The sequence below is a fragment of the Homo sapiens genome, chromosome 19 (assembly GCF_000001405.40).
Source record: "Homo sapiens chromosome 19, GRCh38.p14 Primary Assembly".
Lineage (NCBI taxonomy): Eukaryota > Metazoa > Chordata > Mammalia > Primates > Hominidae > Homo > Homo sapiens.
This window is the reverse complement of record NC_000019.10, coordinates 60,221-79,092: the sequence shown is the minus strand read 5'-3', so window position 1 is coordinate 79,092 and position 18,872 is coordinate 60,221. Positions and strand designations below refer to the sequence as shown.

General features: G+C 50.1%; 2 long non-coding RNA genes, 1 other non-coding gene and 1 pseudogene across 4 annotated transcripts, besides 1 other annotated feature; 2 read left to right on the top strand and 2 right to left on the bottom strand.

Moving 5' to 3' along the window:
• The first annotated feature begins 1,402 nt into the window (after positions 1-1,402).
• Positions 1,403-2,873, top strand: FAM138F (family with sequence similarity 138 member F). The gene is made up of 3 exons (NR_026820.1): positions 1,403-1,763; positions 2,003-2,207; positions 2,310-2,873. It is a non-coding gene; the product is annotated as a family with sequence similarity 138 member F (long non-coding RNA).
• LOC105376912 (uncharacterized) lies at positions 2,067-7,712 on the bottom strand. The gene is made up of 3 exons (XR_007067058.1): positions 6,819-7,712; positions 6,391-6,508; positions 2,067-3,316 (listed from the first exon to the last, which is right to left on the bottom strand). It is a non-coding gene; the product is annotated as an uncharacterized LOC105376912 (long non-coding RNA).
• MIR1302-11 (microRNA 1302-11) lies at positions 6,983-7,120 on the bottom strand. Its single transcript, NR_036268.1, has one exon. It is a non-coding gene; the product is annotated as a microRNA 1302-11 (primary transcript).
• A 414-nt stretch (positions 7,713-8,126) lies between the features above and the next one.
• Positions 8,127-18,142, top strand: WASH5P (WASP family homolog 5, pseudogene; annotated as a pseudogene). The gene is made up of 3 exons (NR_033266.1): positions 8,127-8,165; positions 12,594-12,747; positions 17,199-18,142. The product of NR_033266.1 is annotated as a WASP family homolog 5, pseudogene (transcript).
• Positions 15,717-16,336: an enhancer, noted in NCBI's record as "H3K27ac-H3K4me1 hESC enhancer chr19:62757-63376 (GRCh37/hg19 assembly coordinates)". NCBI's record gives its function as "activates a minimal SCP1, AML or CMV promoter by ChIP-STARR-seq in naive H9 embryonic stem cells {active_cell/tissue: H9 hESC(naive)}" and the evidence as "EXISTENCE:reporter gene assay evidence [ECO:0000049][PMID:30033119]".
• Positions 18,143-18,872: the final 730 nt, after the last annotated feature.

Genomic DNA, 18,872 nt, shown 5'->3' with positions numbered 1-18,872 from the left:
CTTCTCCCTGAAGCTAGAGTGAGGTCCCTCTTGGCAGCCTTTGTATCTAGAGAGAGCCGTCCAATAGAAACATAAGGTGAGCAACATGCTTAATTTTAAAATTTCTAGTAGCTACATTAAACATTTTTAAGTGAAATTAACTTTAATAATAAATTTATTTAACCCAATATATCCAAAAGATTATCATTTCAACATGCAATCCTATTTTAAAAATAACTAGTGAGGTACCTGACAAAAAAAAAATCCCTTTTCATACTAAGTCCAGAAGATCTTTGTGTATTTTATACTCATAGGACATCTGAGTTTGGATGTTACCTTTTTATTGGAAATATGGGATCTGCACTTAGATTTCACTGAATTTACATTGAAAAGGTAGGTTCACATACCCAAGTTGTCTCACACATACCTAAATGTTTTCTGGTAACTGGGTGGAGTATCAGTTTTTATATTTATCTTTGCCTTAGCTAAAAAACAAATTAATAGTGCAGGTCCTCAGCCGCACGCAGGCAGTTTTCTCCACGGTCCAAATGGTTGCCCGAATTCACCCAGACCCCGCTGTCGTCCGCTTTTTCATGCAGACATTCAAACAACTAGCCTCCCTTCCTCCTGGCACCCCCACCCCATCGCCAGCACCCTCCAAACCAGTTTCCCTCCTGTCCTCATCTCAGCCACCCATGACTCACACACACATCTGGCTCCCCTGGCCCACTTTTCACCTGGTCCTCATAATCTATGCATAAACATTAACATACCACAGAATCAATCTGCATACTGATTACTTCTGCTCTGGTCAAATTCTTGCTTTCAGGATCAGGAGGCTTTCTCCCCACACCAAACTGGGCCTGAGGAAATAGTGTCTTGTCTTCCTGTCACCCCTCCCGTAGTTGCATGTCTAATGAGACAAGGGGTGTCTCAGGTGAAGCAGGACAGGGAGGATGCCAGCACTTGGGTGGGAGAGGCTTGAGGAGTGCCTGTTGGGGGATGTGTTGGGGAAGGATGACTTTTCACATATGGCTCATTGTGTCGGGATGATTTCGTTGTTAAATAAGCACCTACAGGATGATTTCACATTCCATACTTCTAAGTTTTTATAATTTAAATTCTTTCCGCCAGGCTGGGTTTTTTTTTTTTTCCAAACTTTAAATCTGTGGCTAGAATTGGTTTGATTTACATAATCCTGCCCCTGAGATTTAGCCCCACCCCTGAGAGCCCCCTCAGAGCCACCCACAGCCAGGACACCTCTGCTGGCCTCCCCTTCCCCAGCCTTCCAACTTGTGGCAGGCCCCTGGCTCTGGCCTCCCCCTATATGGGAATGAGCCAGCTGCACCGCTGCTGACAGTGGCTGGGATAATCCTCCCTGAGCTGTTCCAAGGATTAGTCCTGCTGCCCTGTGCCCAGCTCCCACACAACGGGGTTTCGGGGCTGTGGACCCTGTGCCAGGAAAGGAAGGGCGCAGCTCCTGCAATGCGGAGCAGCCAGGGCAGTGGGCACCAGGCTTTAGCCTCCCTTTCTCACCCTACAGAGGGCAGGCCCTTCAGCTCCATTCTCCTCCAAGGCTGCAGAGGGGGCAGGAATTGGGGGTGACAGGAGAGCTGTAAGGTCTCCAGTGGGTCATTCTGGGCCCAGAGATGGGTGCTGAAGCTCCCACGCCTGCCTGTGAAAATGGAGTCCTCTCTCACCTGGGAGAGCCAGGTGCTGCCCCGAGAAGGATGCATTTATGGCTTCGTGAAGTCTTTCCTGACCCCCGATGCTGCTGACTATAGGTAAGTCTGAGCAAATCTGGGGGAGCCTCATCTTGGCATGAGAAAGAGATGGCTTCTTCTAAGCCCACTGGCCGTGATCCCAGGATTATAACACATTCTGGCTCAAGTCCAGACTATTTGTAGAACACAGGAGATCCTCCATGAGAGGTAGTATAATATAGAGGATATGTGTGCTTACTAAGAGGCTGCCTGTCTGACCTTGGACAAGTTGTTTTTATTTATTTATTTATTTTTTATAGAGACAAAGTCTCACTATGTTGCTCAGGCTGGTCTTGAACTCCTGGCCTCAAGCGATCCTCCCACCTCAGCCTCCCAAAGTGTTGGGATTATAGACATGAGCCACTGCACCTGGCCGACCTTGGGCAAGTTCTTAAACCCTTCAAAGCCTCATTTTTCTCCAATCACAAAAGGGAAAGATGGTAATATTTTCCCCACCAAATTCTTGTAAGTATTAAACATTGTATATGTATTTTGAACACGATTAAGCTCTAAACACTTGTTAGGAAGCAGGACTGGCATTTGAAACAAACAGCTCTTTTCCCACAGGTCGGATGCCCTCACAGAATTGAGATTATGTACGTAAAACACCAGGTGCCTAACCCGGCACAGAGCAGGAGGGCTAAGCGTGACATCCAGCACGTGGTCAGTGGAATCCAGTATTCCTACCCACCTCTCTAGTCTCCCCTCCACCCCTCTCCCTTTCAGAGGCACCAAGCTGCTTGTGGTCTTGTCTATTCCCACTCCCTGCCTGACTGAACATTTTCTCCACCTCCTGATCATCAGCAGCAGAAACTGGCTGCTCTTCCTCCTGGGTAGACAGCCAGACTGTATTTCCCAGCTGCCCCTGCAGTGAGATGTGGCCATCGGAGCCAGCATTGGCCAATGGACTCTGCATGGGAGTGACGCATGCTGCCTCCAGGCTTGTCCCTAAAACCTCCCACGTGTCCTCCGCCTGCTCTTCCCACCTCCAAGGAGCACGGCAATTGTGGAAGACCCAGATTAGTGATGGCAGAACCATAGATGGGAGGAACCTGGGTCCCTGACTTAAAGTATCATGGATTTGGATGTTCCCTTAGTGAGAAATAAACTTCCATTGTGTTTAAGCCTTTATTTGTTTATAGTTGGTTACAGCAACTGCCTTCTTTTAATTAAAACACTCCTGCTGCTTCATGTTGCTGGAATGCTTGTAACCCTGCCCTGCTTCACCAGGGTAACTCCTACTTGGCCTTTAAGTTTATCTCTGCTGTCACACCGTCCAGAAAGCCTTCTCCCAGCACCACAACCCCTCCACCAAGGGTTAGGTGTCTCCAGCAGATGCTGCACAGCTGGCTGCCCTTTGCCCACCCTCCCCTTCTTTCTCATAGAATCCTAGGACTCCTCTGTATCTAGAAGGAGTTGTGTGGTCCAGTGCTGGCCAAGAAGATGTGAGAGCAAGTCGCTGGGTGGAGATTCTTAGGAAAACTTCTTAAAAAGAACGAGACTGGGCTCCTTTCTGCCTTTTACCATTTTTGTGTATGCTTGCCTTCTTCCCACCTGGGACTCTGATGCAGCACCTGTGAATGGGCACACATATTACAACTCTTAGGCTGAAACCCACGTTCTCAGGCAGAGGTCTCTTGTGGGCATTTAGTGCTATAAATGTCTCTTTACACACTGCTTTAAATGCGTCCCAGGTCTTAGGGTATATACCCAAAGGATTATAAATCGTGCTACTATAAAGACACATGCACATGTATGTTTATTGTGGCAGTATTCACAATAGCAAAGACTTTGAACCAACCCAAATGTCCATCAATGACAGACTGGATTAAGAGAATGTGGCACATATATACCATGGGATACTATGCAGCCATTAAAAAGGATGAGTTCATGTCCTTTGCAGGGACATGGATGAAGCTGGAAACCATCATTCTGAGCAAACTATCACAAAGACAGAAAACCAAACACTGCATGTTCTCACTCACAGGTGGGAATTGAACAATGAGAACGCTTGGACATGGGGCAGAGAACATCATACACTGGGGCCTGTCAGTGGGTGGGGGGCTGGGGGAGGGATAGCATTAGAAGAAATACCTAATGTAAATGACAAGTTGATGGGTGCAGCAAACCAACATGGCACACGCATATCTATGTATCCAACCTGCACATTATGCACATGTACCCTAGAACTTAAGTATATAAAAAAAAAAAGAAAAAAAAACTTTCACCTTTTTCCAAAGTGTTGGGATTATGGGTGTGAGCAACCACATCTGGTCCTTTTTTTTTTTTTTTAATGGAGGTGAAATTCATATAAGTTTGACCATTTTAAAGTGAACAATCAGTGGCATTCAGTACATTCACCATGTTGTGCCAACACTATCTCTATGTAGTTCCAAAACATTTTCATCAGCTCAAAATGAAACCTTGTACCCATGAAGCAGCCACTTCCCATTCTCCCCTCCCCTTAGCCCCTGGAAATCGGCTTTCTTTCTCCACGGATTTACATATTCTGTATATTTCCTATAAATGGAATTACACAATAGGTGACCTGTGTCTGGCTTCTTCCACTTAACCTAATGCTTTTGAGGTTCTGTCACATGGTGCCATGGATCAGCTCTGCCTTCCTTTTTATGACTAATACTCCACTGTATGTCCATATCACCATTTGTGTATTCACTCATTAATCTATGGACACAAGCCTCATTTTTAAGCACTTCAAATATGTTAACTCACTGAATCCTCACCACAAAGACAGATTCAGTTATTACATATTGACAGAGTGAAAACTGAGGCACAGGTAACATGCCTAGGATCACGTGGCTATGAAGCAGAAAGAGGACTCCAGCCGAGGCAGTCTAGTCCCAAAGTCCTTCCCTTCCTAGTAACCACTATGCTCTCCTGCCTCTCAGAGAACAACCCACATGGCACAACACGAGGGCTAAGCTGTCTGGTCTGTCTGGTGAAGCTTCAAATGCTGTTCATTTCCGATAAGGGGAGGTTCCTGGGCTGCAGAGGCTTCCTAGAGGAGGAAGACCATGTAAGGTCTAACTCAGGGCAGGTCAGGATGGTGTGAACTCACTCTGAACACAGTCACCGATGGGTGTTTATGAAAACTGGCTCTGGAACTCCCACAGGGAAGGTTCTTATCTTTGCGTGCACAACACAGAGCCCTCTGGGTAGACTTCTAGACCCAGGCCTCTTTCAAATACATTAGAAACCTCAGCAAGATAAACTATTTTCTGTCTGGCTGCATCTGTCTATCTGTTTAGAGAGCAGGACATTTCCATCCTCCTCTCTCCAGGCATCCTTGGAAGTCTTTCCCACAAGCAAGACATCTTGGTGAAATCTAATGCTGCGGAGGGAAGTGGTTTTCAGGAGAGAGGAGTCTGTTCCCAGAACTGTAGCACAAAAGCTAGAGGCTGAGTAGGAACATCTTAAACTAAGTCCTCAGTCTTATTTCCAGTTTTCTTCCTGTAGATCGGGGCTTAGGACACCCTGTCACATTTTCTTCACTCCTCCACCAGGAATTCCTAAAGTCCATGCTCTTGGATCCTGGCAAATCCAGGAGGCTGGGGGATGTGGCAAGCTTCAGCAAGACTGCCTGGGACCAACCCTGCAGCCTTAATTCCCAGGCCCGCTCAGCCCAGCTGGCCAGCAAAGGCAGGCAGAGCTTCTGTGTCCACACATGAGAATGACCTGCAGCTGTTCTTTGTCCAGGCTGAGGTCCAGGATTCCCACTGCAGCTCCTAGGAAATCTTTAAAATTAGGTCGGGGATGAGCCTGTCAGTAGATTAGGTAGGGAACTTTTATGAAGTTGAGGGTGAACCATCTGGAGGGTGAACTGGCTGGTGTGATTCTAGAACTGGGGGTGGTGCCTAGCAGTGCATTTGTGAGAAGACACAGCCAGGCTTGGTATATGATGTGGTGTGTGTGTATATTCACAGGCATCGTGGAGCATATACACTTTTTTTGTGTGTGTTGAAATAAACCTTACAGATTACAAAGTACTTTTTTTTTTTTTTCTGAGACAGGGTCTCTCTCTGTCGCCCAGCCTGGAGTGCAGTGGTACAATCATAGCTCACTGCAGCCTCGATCTCCCAAGCTCAAGTGATCCTCCCGCCTCAGCCTCCCATGTAGCTGGGACTACAGGTGTGTGACACCATGACTGGCTATTTTATTTTATTTTTGTAGAGATGGAATCTCACAATATTGCCCAGGCTGATCTCAAACTCTTGGGCTCAAGCAGTCCTCTCGCGTCAGCCTACCAAAGTGCTAGGATTACAGGCATGAGCCACCACGCCCAGCCAGATTACAAAATACTTTGACATCTTTTCTCTACAGCCCTCAAAAGGAGGCAGGGCAAGCACAATTAAATCCCATTACAAATGGGGTGACTGAAGCTCCATTCATGGCTTGCCCAGGGTCACACAAAGAATGAATAGCAGAGCCCTGAGCCTGTGTGCTTCCCTCTGTGCCAGGCTGCTTTACCCAGGCATGGGTGCACCTTGTGCATGGGACATTTCTCCTTTGTTGTGTCCTGAGTACCTTAAGCCACTCAGATATTGCTCAGGTGGAGTGAGGGAAAAATGTTTTCAGGTTGTATTAGTCAAAACAAAATACCACACACTGGGCGACTTTAAAATCATACATTTATCCCTCACAGTTCTGGAGGCTTGGAAGTCCAAGTTCAAGGTGGCAGCTGGACGGGTTCCCGGTGAGGGCTCTCTTCCTGGTTTGCAGACAGCCACCTTCTCTTCGCATCCTCACTTGGTGGGAAAAGACAGAGGAGAGAAAGAGAGAGAGAGAAAAATGAGATAGAGAGAGAGAGAGAAATGAGATAGAGAGAAATGAGAGAGAGAGAGAGAGAGAGAGAGAGGGAGACACAGAGACAATGCTCTCTTTTCTTACCAGATCTATAATGAGGGCCCCACCCCATGACCTCATCTAACCGTAATTACCTACCAAAGGCCCATCTCCACATACCATCACATTAGGGGTTAGGGTTTCAACATAAGCATTTGGAGAGGACATAAACATTCTGTCTACAACATGAGTGGAGATCCATCTCTTCTTTACCTCTGGTAAGGGGACCACACGCTGCAGCCAGCGAGACAGTGGCATGTTCTTGTTACAACTCGATCTAACTCCCCCAGAAGAGGAGGCAGGGAAGGCGGACAAAACTGGGAGAGGGAGAGAGTGTTAGGAAGAGAGTAGGGTGGCCAGAGGCAGCAAATAAAATATAAAATGCTTAATTCTGAATCTCAGATAAACAACCAATAATGTTTTTTAGCATAAGTATGTCCCAAACTAAGCTTGGGACATATTTATGCTACGAAATTATTCGTTGTTTATCTAAAATTCAAACTAGCTGGGCATCCTGTCTTTTAATCTGGCAACCCTAAAAGGCAAGGGCCAAAAATGCCGGAGGCAAGCCAACGGATTCCAGGAGGGACAACTGCTGGACTTTGGACTGATGATGCTCTTTTTATATATTTAACTTTTTAAAAAAGCCTCTTTTCTTTCTTTTTACCAGCTTTTCACTAGCTTTTTAAAAATTGTGGTAAAACATACATAACCTAAAATTCACCGTCTAAACCATTTTTCAGCATACAGTTCAGTGGGATTAAGTAGATTCACACTGTTGTGCCGCCATCACTACCACTCATTTCCAGCACCCTTCCATCACCCCAGCCTGAAACTCTACCCATTGAACACGAGCTGCCCAACTCCGCCTTGCTTCCCCATTCCTGGCGACCACTGCTTCTGTCTCTGTGAATTTTGACTATTCTAGGCACTTCACAAAACTGGACTCATACGATATCTGTAGTTTTGCGTCTGGCTTCTCTATTGAATTCTTAAAGGGGGGTGGGAACTAAGCAGATCACAAGGGAGCTGCCCACAGAGGTAAAGACAAGGTCAGGTAGGCTGAGAGACGCAGGAAAGCGGGTCAAGGCGTAGGGCTGGAGGGCAGGGGCGGGCCCTGGGCGTGGGCTGGGGGTCCTGCCCCGGGGCGCACCCCGGGCGAGGGCTGCCCGGAGGAGCCGAGGTTGGCGGACAGCTTGGCCCTGAGCTTGAGGGGAAGGCAGCGATGGGACAAAGGACGGAGGTCTAGGAAGAGGGTCTGCAGAGCAGAAAGCACGGGTAGGGGCGGCCTGACGCTCGGAAGACAACGCATGGGAGCCGTGTGCACGTCGGGAGCTCGGAGTGAGCGTGAGTTCCGTGCCCAGGCCCGCGACTCGGCCCGACAGGACAGCGCTCCGGGTCGACGGGGTCCTGGAGCCGCGCTCGGGGAGGGCGCAGCGGAGGGCGAGCGGCGGCGTTAGGACCCGGAGGCGCGGGCGGACTGGGGGCGGCGGGGCTAGGACCCAGCGGCTCCGGCAGAGCGGAAGCGGCGGCGGGAGCTTCCGGGAGGGCGGCTCGCAGGTAGGAGGCGTCCGGGGCCGCGGGAAGTAGGGTCGTGGGGGCCTGGCGGGGCGAAGTAGGGGACCCGGAGGGGCTGGAGGGAGGCGGGCGGGAGGCCCGGGACCGTTCCTGACCGAGAAGCCTGCGCCAAGCTGGTGTTCCGCGGCCGCTGCCCGGTGCCCGGCTCCACTGCGAACGCCGCCGCTGGGCCCCGACCGCCCGGGAGGCGTCTTGGGCTCGCCCCGGAGCTTCCTCCCTGGAGCCGCGCCCTGCACCCGGCCTTGCCCGGCCCTAGCAGGGAAGCCAAGGCTTGTGGGGCGCAGGGACCCGGGCTCTGCGGGGTCCCGGTTCCGCCTCCCCACTCCTGCGTCTTCCCGCCCCTGCCGGGTTCTGGGAAGCCTCGCGCGGCTCTTCCGCAGCTGCTGCCCGCCCGGAGCTCCTGGTCCCTCGTAGGGGACCCCACTTCTCTGACACCGCGTTGGGTTCCCGGGGCCTACAGCGAGGCTTGTAACTCCGGGAGAGACCCTGGAGCGGGGTGTGGGAGAACGGTCTGGAGGAAGGGCTCCGAGCACTTCGAAAGTATAAACCGCGGTCCCAAAGAGGCGTGCTGTGTCTGCATTTTCCTGGGAGTGCACGGTTTACATTCTCGAAAGCAGTGCTGTCGACTAGAAATATTGAGCGATACACATGTACAAGTTTTGTCACTTAAAAAGAATTTGAAAAAACTTCATAGATGCAAAAAAAAAAAAAACCCACCATTATTAAAGAATACTTAGGTATTTGTGGAATGCATTGAAGAGTTAACAAAATGGATAGGCAGGAAATATCGCAGACCTAGAATGAATTACAGTTACCCACTGTGGAACTGAGGAGCTAGGGTTTCTCATAAAACTCCCTGATAGAAGACGACTTTTGATAAATTTTTTTTTCCGCCAACAAAATCCCCTGTCTTCTCAACTAGTTACTGTCTGTCCACTAAATAAGAGGTGGTCCGTCACTTCTTCAGATGAGCAACTACAGGCTTTTCAAAAGATAATTGCTAATCAACCCCTTTGTGCCTGGGTTTTCTTATTTGTAAAAATAGATACTACTACCTAACTCCAAAGTGTGTGGTGAAGACAAACAATTGGGGTGATGTATACTAAAGTAACGAAAGTGTTGACCACACACTACGGGCTGGTTAGTGTTAGATTCCCTTGTTTTTCCCTCAGTATCAAAAACAGATCTAATTTAGGTTTACATAAAGACAAAGTATGAAGATAAGGTGACTTACAGTTGGTACTACTAACAAAATGTTTGGGCTAAGATTTGCATTATTGCATGAAAACAACAAAACATATCAATAAATAACAAAAAGCTTGGAATTCAGACGACAGATCCAAGTCTGGGCTTGATCTCAAGCTAGTGTTTTGATGTTGAAAAAATGTTATTTGGTCTTTCTAACCCCATTTCCTTATGTAAAATAGGGGATGATGATAAATTCACTGATAATAAGAGTTAAATGAGATTCTTGAGGAGTCAGAATGGTTCTAACATGTGTAGGTATTATTAGCAGTCATACTGTAGCATAAGAAAATACCGTCTGCTGAAAGAGGGACAATAAAGATTATCTACATGGTCATCATTTAAAAGCTACCAGATATAGGAAGAAGGGGCCATAAAATGATAACGTTATGATGATTAATTTTGATGCTTAGGTCAGAGTCCATTCTAGGATATCTGCTGCCCAAAAACAGCAGAGACTCATTTCTTTGGAATCACAGGACGCTGAGTGAGAGGAAAGAAAAAGAAAAGAAATATTTAAGTCACATATGTGATTTCTAAAAGTAAAAAGAAACAGATGAAATTAGTGATATATTTTTAAAATCCAGTATATCCCAAATATGGTTATTTTAGCACGTAATCAATATAAAATAATAAGATATTTTACATTCTTTTTTTCTAGCCTTTGAAATTTGGTGCATATTTTACACTTATGGCACATCTCAATTCAGACTATCCACATTTCAAGTGCTCAGTGGCTGCATGTGCCTGGTGGCTACCATATTGGACAGCACAGGTCTAAGGATTTCATTCCTGCCACAAGTCCAAACTCCTAGCTTTAATTTTGAGTGTTTTTAACAAACTGGCCTCTGTTTATCATTCTTTCTTCTAGTACTTCCCCAAGGATGATTGTACCCTCAGCACTCAAGACCGCTTGCGGTTCCCCTACACACTTTTTGTTCAAGCTGTTTCTTTTACCTGGAATGCTGTCTTTGCACCTTCTTCCTGGACCTGGTTCACCCTCGTTGCCTAGGCTGGAGTGCCATGGCGCGATCTTGGCACACTGCAACCTCCACCTTCCCGGTTCAAGTGATTCTCCTTCCTCAGCCTCCCGAGTAGCGGGGATTACAGGCATGCACCACCACGCCTGGCTAATTTTGTATTTTTAGTAGAGATGGAGTTTCACCATGTTGGTCAGACTGGTCTCGAACTCCCGACCTCAGGTGATCTGCCTGCCTTCGCCTCCCAAAGTGCTGGGATTACAGGCGTGAGCCGCTGCGCCCGGCCGAGAGGCACACATTCTGCTAAGAGCTTTTTCCTGACTCCCCTAACTCCAAGAGGGATTTGTCACTCCTTAGCTTTGTACCCATGACTGGAGTAGAATGAATTTAATTTGAGTTTAGTTGTTTTTGAGACTCTCCCTGGCTAGTGTAGTGTCTTATTCGTCTTTGTTGTGATCATGGCCTGCACCTAACAGATGATCAGTAGATGTTTGCAGACAGAAAGTAAACCACTCATCAGGTGTATTCAGTCCCATTCTTGAACGGGCTTGCTGCCTCCTTTTTGAGGAGATCTGTGTATGTACTCTTCTTTCACGCATATGTGTGAGCAAACACACACACACTAACAAGAAATTCATCTGAAGATGTGCACAGGAAATATCTTGCATCTTTACCCCCTTTGTGATCTTACATATGGGAGAACTGAGGCACAGAAATAAGTTAGGACAGCCAGCAAACTTGCATCAGTATAAATACAAAGAAGGGGAGGGAGGAACATGCTTGAAAGGGGTGTGCTGGTCTCAGAGGGTTGGGTTTCTCAGTTGGCTGGGCATCAGCTGGCCATGCTTTAGTTATTTGATGGGAGGAAAAATAAGTGGGAGGTGAGGAGTAACTCCTGGGCTCTGATGAGTATTCAAGGCAAGTACAGATCTGGAAAGCCTGTATGCAAAGGAGGAACTCACTGAAAAGTGCTGGCCTGAGGAGGGCAGAAGGGAGGGCTGGGGAAGCCAGCAGCGGGAGCAAAGGAGTAGGCTCCAACTGGGTGAAGATGTTGGTGTGGTGCGTTATGTAAAATATACAAATTATTATTGGAAATAACCACGTCTCAGCAGTGCTAGTTCTCAGTTTGGAGAATGGGAAATCGAAAGGATCAGATTCAGAGACGGCAACTTACTCAAGGTCACAGCATTTTAAACCCAAGTGAAATCTCCTAGGCCCTTCATGCCACACTCATCCATCCCTACCTACTTGTGTTGCAACCAAGGGCCCCACTGTAGTGCCTAGGGGAGCAGGTCTAGGGCACAGTGCCAGGCCTGATTAATGTCTTCCTTACCATTTTCCAGTGAGGGGCTGTGATTAGGCCTATTTATAGGGGCCTGGTCCCTTAATATTCTGCCTGGTGCATCTCTTGCCAATCAAATCAGTGCTGTCTGCAGTGTGATTGCTGCTTTAGTGGCACCAGGGAGAGGAGTTAATTAAACCCAATATAAATAGACTCTGCCCTCACTTTGCAATTCCAGGAGTGTTTTTCCTTCCTGTCCTCCACCCCCACAGGCACCTCTTTCCTCTTGTCCCCCTAAGCTCTAGCCTGGGTGAGCAGGGCTGGATACTCCTATACCTAGAGTCACTAGCCACTGCCCAGTCTGTTTCAGGAGCAGGCCTCAGATTCCTCAGGGGTTAAAGTGGGAAGAACCCGTGTGTGCACATTTTTTGTGCTTTTCCAGAACTGTGTACCATTTGGCAGTTGATCAGGCAATCTCCCCTGCTACCCCATTTCTACCCCTTTGTTTCCAGCCTCTTTTTTCCTCTGCAACCAAGGTTTCTTGTTTATCCAAGGTGGGGAGCTGAACTGAGACAAGGTATGGAAAGGGTGCCTGGCAGGTAGCAAGCACCTTGTAGGGGGTCAGAAATGTTGCACCTTCTCTGAACTCCTCCATTGACCCTACAGATTCCCCAGTCCCGGGCCCTGCCCTTTCCCTCATTCACTCAGCAGGCATCAGCAGAGTCCCATCTATGCGCTCCTGGCCTCTCAGCAAATGCTCTGTCCCCTACTCCCCTATCTGTGCAGGCTGAAGCTATGTGCATAGTTGGGATGAGGGCTGTGTTGTCTCAACACCACGCTGCCCTGTGGTGGGGGCGTGCCGGTGGTCGTGGGTGGCTCTGACGCTCCGGCTCCGACCCACAGGCACCATGACTCCTGTGAGGATGCAGCACTCCCTGGCAGGTCAGACCTATGCCGTGCCCTTCATCCAGCCAGACCTGCGGCGAGAGGAGGCCGTCCAGCAGATGGCGGATGCCCTGCAGTACCTGCAGAAGGTCTCTGGAGACATCTTCAGCAGGTGGGTGCTGCCACTCACCCCCACCTGATGAGAGGGCCATCCCTGTCCTGGGCAATCCCAGCAACACACCCTCTGGGAGCAGCCCCCTTGGGGAATCCCGGTCCTGGGGAACCCATCTGGCTTCCCTGTGTGGGAGGGGCTGAAGTGAGAGCCCAACTTGGAAGCTTTTACTCCTGGGAGTCCAAGAGCTCACTCCCTTCCACCCCACTTAGCCTCCTGGTTTCCTGTGGTGGCTCTGCTCTCACAACTCATGCTTTTCCTCCCATTGGAGGGCCTATTCCTTCACGTTTTCCTGCAGCCAACAAATATTTACCCAGCAGTGCTCGTGTGCAAGGCAGTGTGGGAATCTCTATATATCCAGCCACGGATAAGGCAACATACCTCTCCACCTGGAGCGCACATTCTGGCAGGAGAGAAAGACCTAAATAAGCAATAGATGATTAGTTCTTCAATAACAGTTGTGACAAGGTCTATTGATAATATTTTGTAATCACTAATATTCATATAAACCGTGCACAACCATTGATTTGAGTGCATTAACTCACACTTCATGAGCAGGCACTGCCGTCATCTCATTTTATAGATGAGGAAACTGAGGCACAGAAGGGCTGAGAGACCTGGCCTAGTGACAGAGCCAGGATTCAAAGCCATAGATCATGGCCCCGGGTTATGTAGGTTATTACTGCATCTGTTCAGGGGAGATGGGGTACTGTGAGGCTCGTCATGGGAAGCCTGGCTTGGTCTCAGGTCAGGGAAGGCAGACGTGAGGAAATGACATTTATGGTAAAGTCTGAGGGTTGAGTGGGTAGGTTGGGAAGAACATTCCAGAAAGAAGCACATGAACTACAGCCTGGAGGTGGAGGACCTAAAAGGAAGCCAGCATGGCTGGAGCACGGAGTGGCCATTGAGGGAGGCGAGCTGGAGGGCTGCAGCTTCTTGTATTGGCAGTGCTGACCTCGCACAGTCCTTGGGCTCCAGTGACTTCACTCAGTGTTTATCTAACATGAGTGAGTGAATGGTGTTTGCTCTTTTTTTGGTAAAGGTCCCAGGGGTTGTCGGGTACACAGGTCCTGTCTTTGGCCATAAGCAAACTGAAATGAGGCTTGGTCTCCTTCCCAGGATCCCACACCATGCCTCACATGGTAGACCCCAGTGGGAAGTATGTGACTGCCTGACTCAGGTGCCTCTCGTGGTCCAAGCCATCCCTGCCCTGTCCCTTCCCTGGTTGTCGCCAGACCTGGAGCCCCTGCTCCTTCACTTTGCAGCCTCCTCTTCTGTCACCAACTGGGAACCCACCTCTTCCTGAAAGTCCTCCCCCACTGACTCACCGGCTTGCCCCGAGTTTGTCAAGAATGTCCCAGTAACCAGGGGACACACAGTGAAGTGACTGAGGGGTTACCTTGGAGTTGATGCCTTGGCTCAGATCCAGCTCCCCTGTTTTCTTCCTCTGTAACCTTGGGCAACCCAACCCCTCTAAGCCTCGGTGTTCTCATTTGTGAAGTTGTGGTAATAATGGTAGCTTCCTGGTAGAATTATTTTAAATATTAAATTAATCAAAACATGCAAAGGAATGGAACAGTGCCTGGCACTTAGGAAGCCTTCAGGAAATGCTATCTCTTCCCTGTTGATAATCTTGACCCGTACACTGCCTTTGGTTGCCATTCATAAACCTGCCACCAATAGTAACAAAGTGCTGGATGCACCTTTTGTGCTTATCTTTGTGCTAAATGTGCCCGAGGGACACCTAGGGAAGAGGATGCAGGTCTTTAAGAGCCATCAGCTCCAGATTATGGCCACCCCATGTCCAGCACTTAGAATGGAGGCCAAAACCATTCCCTCGGAAATTGTGTTTCCTTGCCAAGATGGGGACTGCGTGGTTGCCCTTCTCTGAGGGCAGCGCTGGATTTTTGGCGTCTTTCCTTTCCTGTCCTGGTACTTGGCACCTTGTAGACAGTTGCATGTCCCCTGCCCAGGGATGGGATGAGGAGAGGGCAGGAAGGCATTTCCTGGGTAGTGGAGTGCTGCGTTCATTGAGTGTGGGTTCTCCAAGCTGCTGGCACAGCGCAGGGAGGGCCAGATGCCTCTCAGGAGCCTTGGGCCTGAGTCCTGGCTCCCTCACTCCTGGGTTCCAGGTCACTGCATCTGTCTCTCCACCATGTGCTCCACCTCGTGCTGGACCTTAAGAGATACCAATTATGTGGCTGCCACTGTGTCCTAGAGGCTGGAATGGGAACACATAGGGCGAGATTGATTGTTAATTGCTAGCATGAACCGCGTGGGCTTCTCAGGGTCTAGAGTGGAGAGAAATCGGTAAGAATTGGTGGCACGCCTGTCAGAACTCCCCAGACCAAGCTAAGCAAAAATTAACCAATCAGTAGAGCAGCCTTCGGAGTAAGGGCTAAAATGATGTCCTCAGGGCCTGGTTTTGCTTTCCTTCCATGTCAGTTTGCTTCTTTGGGTCTGGCTGCATTCCCAGACAGGCCATGCTCTCGTGGTAGCAAGGTGACATGACACAGGGTCAGGTCCAGCAGGAAAGAATGCTGTCCTGTGTCCCCACTTCCTCCAGAAGCCACACTCACTCATCCCACCTGGCTTGGTCCTCATGTCTATCCCAGAATCCATTAATGGGGCCAGGGGACTATGACACACCACTTGGCTTAGACTGAGGAGCTCTGTGGGCAGCCCCACCTGAAGCTCTGGGACTAAGCCTGCGAGAGAGATGGATTCCCCAAGGGAAATGGGGCCATTGCTTGAGTAAAAAGGAAATAGTTGCTGAAGAGGAAAACCACGTGCTTACTCCACATAGGGCAGACTCCTGGAAGAGGGGGGCAGGGTAGGGAGGTGGATATGCAGGTTGCCCTGGCAGGGTCTGGAAATGGGGGCTGCAGGCTTGGAGGGAGGCCTCAGTGTGGCTTGGAACGTGGTGTATGGTGGTCTGCCGCGAAGGCCGGCCTGCACAGGGGTGGGAGGGGGGTGCTTCTGCATGGGAAGCACAGACAGCGCTGCCTCTCCCTTGCACTCAGCTCTCGGGGCATGAGAGGCTAACTTTCCGTGAGCCTGTGGGCCAGGCCTCTTTGAATGGGGCTGAGGGAGCTTTGCCCTGGTTCCTTTGTGTCCCCACGGTGCCACGGGAGGCTCCCTGGCAGGGTGTGGGGCAGGGCAGTGAGTGAAGAGTTGGGATGAGTGAGTTAGGGCCCACGGATTACTCAAGACAGGACTTCAAGTTGATTCAGGCGTGTTAGGGAGCTGTGATTGGATTTTGAGCAGGGCAGGGATGGGACAGAAGAGTTTGGGGAAGGTTCCTCAGGCATCCGTCACAGAAGGGACAAGAAGGGAGAGAGAGTGGATGCCAGGGACACCCAGAAGCTGTTATTGTAGTCAGGATACGACAGGGGTGAGGCTACAGACAGGGGACTTGCAAGCAGGGAGGGCAGGGTGAGACATTCAGAGGAAACGACGACAGGAAATGGTGACAGATAGGGAACGAGGATGAAGGGAAGGGAGAGCCAGTGACGACTGGCAGTGGAGTGGGGAGCACCGCCACCTCTCCTCCTCCACTTGCCCCTCCTGTGGCACTGGACAAGCTAGTGGGCTTTTCGTTGTCCATGGGCTTTTTCGGTGGGGATGTGACCAGCTTTGAACCCGTCCCCTTAAACATGCTCCTCCTGCACGGAAGAGACAGGGGCAGGGGAGAGACTCTCTCCCCACCACCCGGCTCAGGCCCCAGCACAGCCCGGCCTCTGGCCTCACTGGCGTCTGTGCCCAGTGACGCAGGCAGGTGAGCTCCTGGCAAATTAGCATTGCAGGCTGTGCTCTCTCCTCCTGCTCTGCTGCAGCTGGGAGTGTGCAGAGACTGGAGGGGATGACAGTCACCCTCTGTTTTCTGTGGTGGCTCTGTTTTCTGTGGTGCTGGATGCACCTCTGTTTTCTGTGGTGGCTCCAAGAGAGTGCACGGTCCCTGCTGATTGAAAGAAGGATGAAGGGCAGAAGAGGGGCGGGGAGCTGTGTGCCCTAAGATCTCATTGCCTTTTTATGCCGATTAACATGCTTTTAGCCCCTACTGAGCTTATAGTTAACAGAAGTTTCCAGGTCTTTCTTCACCTGAACTGTGTCTAAAGCAAGTTCCCTCCACCTTCTGTATTTATACGCTTGATTTTTAAAACCTAAATGTTGGGCTTCACATTTGTTCCTTGTAAATTTCATCTTGGTGATTGCAGTCTACCCTCTGGCCTTTAAAAATTGTCTGAGCCTTGATTCGATCATGAAACCAGCTTACCCTTCCCCTGTGTGCTGGCCCCAGTTTTCTAACCAGGTGTTGAATGAACTGGATGGACTCTGCCAGATCCCTCCGTGCAAGGCTGGAATCAGTCCATTGTTCAACTGTGCCCTTTGGGGCTGTGGTTCATTTGGCTCTGATTTTTCCTATATGTTCTCTCCTCCAACCCCCATAGCTCCATCTTGTCTACAAGATTTTGTTAGAAGCCGTCAAAATCCTGCTGACTCGAGATGCGCTGTGGTGCATGTTTTCCCCGGGCACAGCAGGCTAATAATCCTGTTACAAAGAGAAATGCTGTACATTTCGAGCAGTGCTGGCCCCTGGGACTCACCGTGGCCTTTTCTAAGTGCTTACAGACTCTCTGTTTAATAATCCATTCCAGAAATTTTCCAGGGCTCATTGTTGAGCTTGGTGTTCGCAACTTTGAGTGATCAGCCCTTCTCCTTTGTGGGAGCACCAGGACAGAGCAGCCTTTGTCCCTCCCCAGTCTCAGTTCCCTCCCACTGCCCCTGTGGACCTCGAATGCAGAGCTTATGCACCTACCGAAGGTCGTGTCAGCACCCAAGGCAGAACGAGGCTGCCCTGGGAACTAGGGTCAATTAAGACAGCTTGTGCTGGAGGACCCTTTACAGCAGATGAAGGCCTCTCCCCAGCCAGAAAAGATGGAGCACACGCTGGGTGGTGGCCCCGCTTCCTCACTGGAAGGAGATGGTGCTCTTCTTTTTTCTTTCTGAATTGTGGCCACCTTCATACCAGTCTGTCATGGAACACTTAAGTCGCTTGAGTGCCTGCTGGTACTCCCAGCCCTGCCATGCCTGAGCCCCCTGCACACAAGGAGCCAGGAGTAATCAGGGCAGACCCTTTAGGGCACGGGGACTTCTGGATTGTGAAATTGGCTCTCTGGGGGCCAAGGCCTTCTAACGTTGGTGGAAGTGGCTTTGGCTTATTGGGTCGGATTCTAGGCCATTCATTCCAACCTTTAGAGACATCCCAGCTTTCCCTAGCCCAGAGTCTGCAGCCCCTCCACCATCCCACATCCTCCCCCTCCCTTTCCTCATGAACCCCAGTCGCGCCTCTGCCTTCTCAAACCCCTCCACCATCCCACACCCTCCTCCTGCCCTTCCTCATGAACCCCAGTCGCGCCTCTGCCTTCTCATCCCTGCGCACCACACAGGCTCGCTCGTGCCCGGTGAGTGCTGAGGCTGCTCTGCACGTGGAGTATGGCCCTGTGGGCAAGGGCTGGGCTCTTGGAGGTAGGGGAGCTACAGGGGCGACTGGGAGGAGGATGTCGTGTTACACACGCATCAGAGTTAACTTTGCAGTGAGAGCGGCCTTGCTGCGGCCAAAGAACATGGAAAAGCATGAGTGGGGTGATGTGCCTTAAAGCATCAGACACTTGGGCCTCGGGCATCAGGAGCCAGCCACAGGGATGTCTGGGGAAATGGCGTTCCATGAGATGCAAGCACACAAGAATGCACTTGGCACATCTGGGGAACAGCAGGCAGCTGATATCACTGGGCCCACCCCGCACCAGGGAGGATGGAAGCAGGTGAGGAGCTAGACCACACTGAGGCGGTGGTCGGGACTCGGGGTTTGCTCAGTGAGCCGTTCACTATGTGCAGGGGCAGTTCCCCGTCTGAATTTAGGTGACGACACTCAGGTCCAGCCTTGCCAGTCTCAGCCTCCGGTCTCCGTTCCCCCTCTGCAGAGGCCACATTGTCTGCTGCACGTGATCATGAGGGGTTGTGAAGTGCTTGCCCCATCAGTAGCCATGTGTGCATGTGTAAATACCATCCTCTGTGTGCCCTGGAGGCTGTCCTTCAGATAGCATGTACAGGTGGCAGCATAG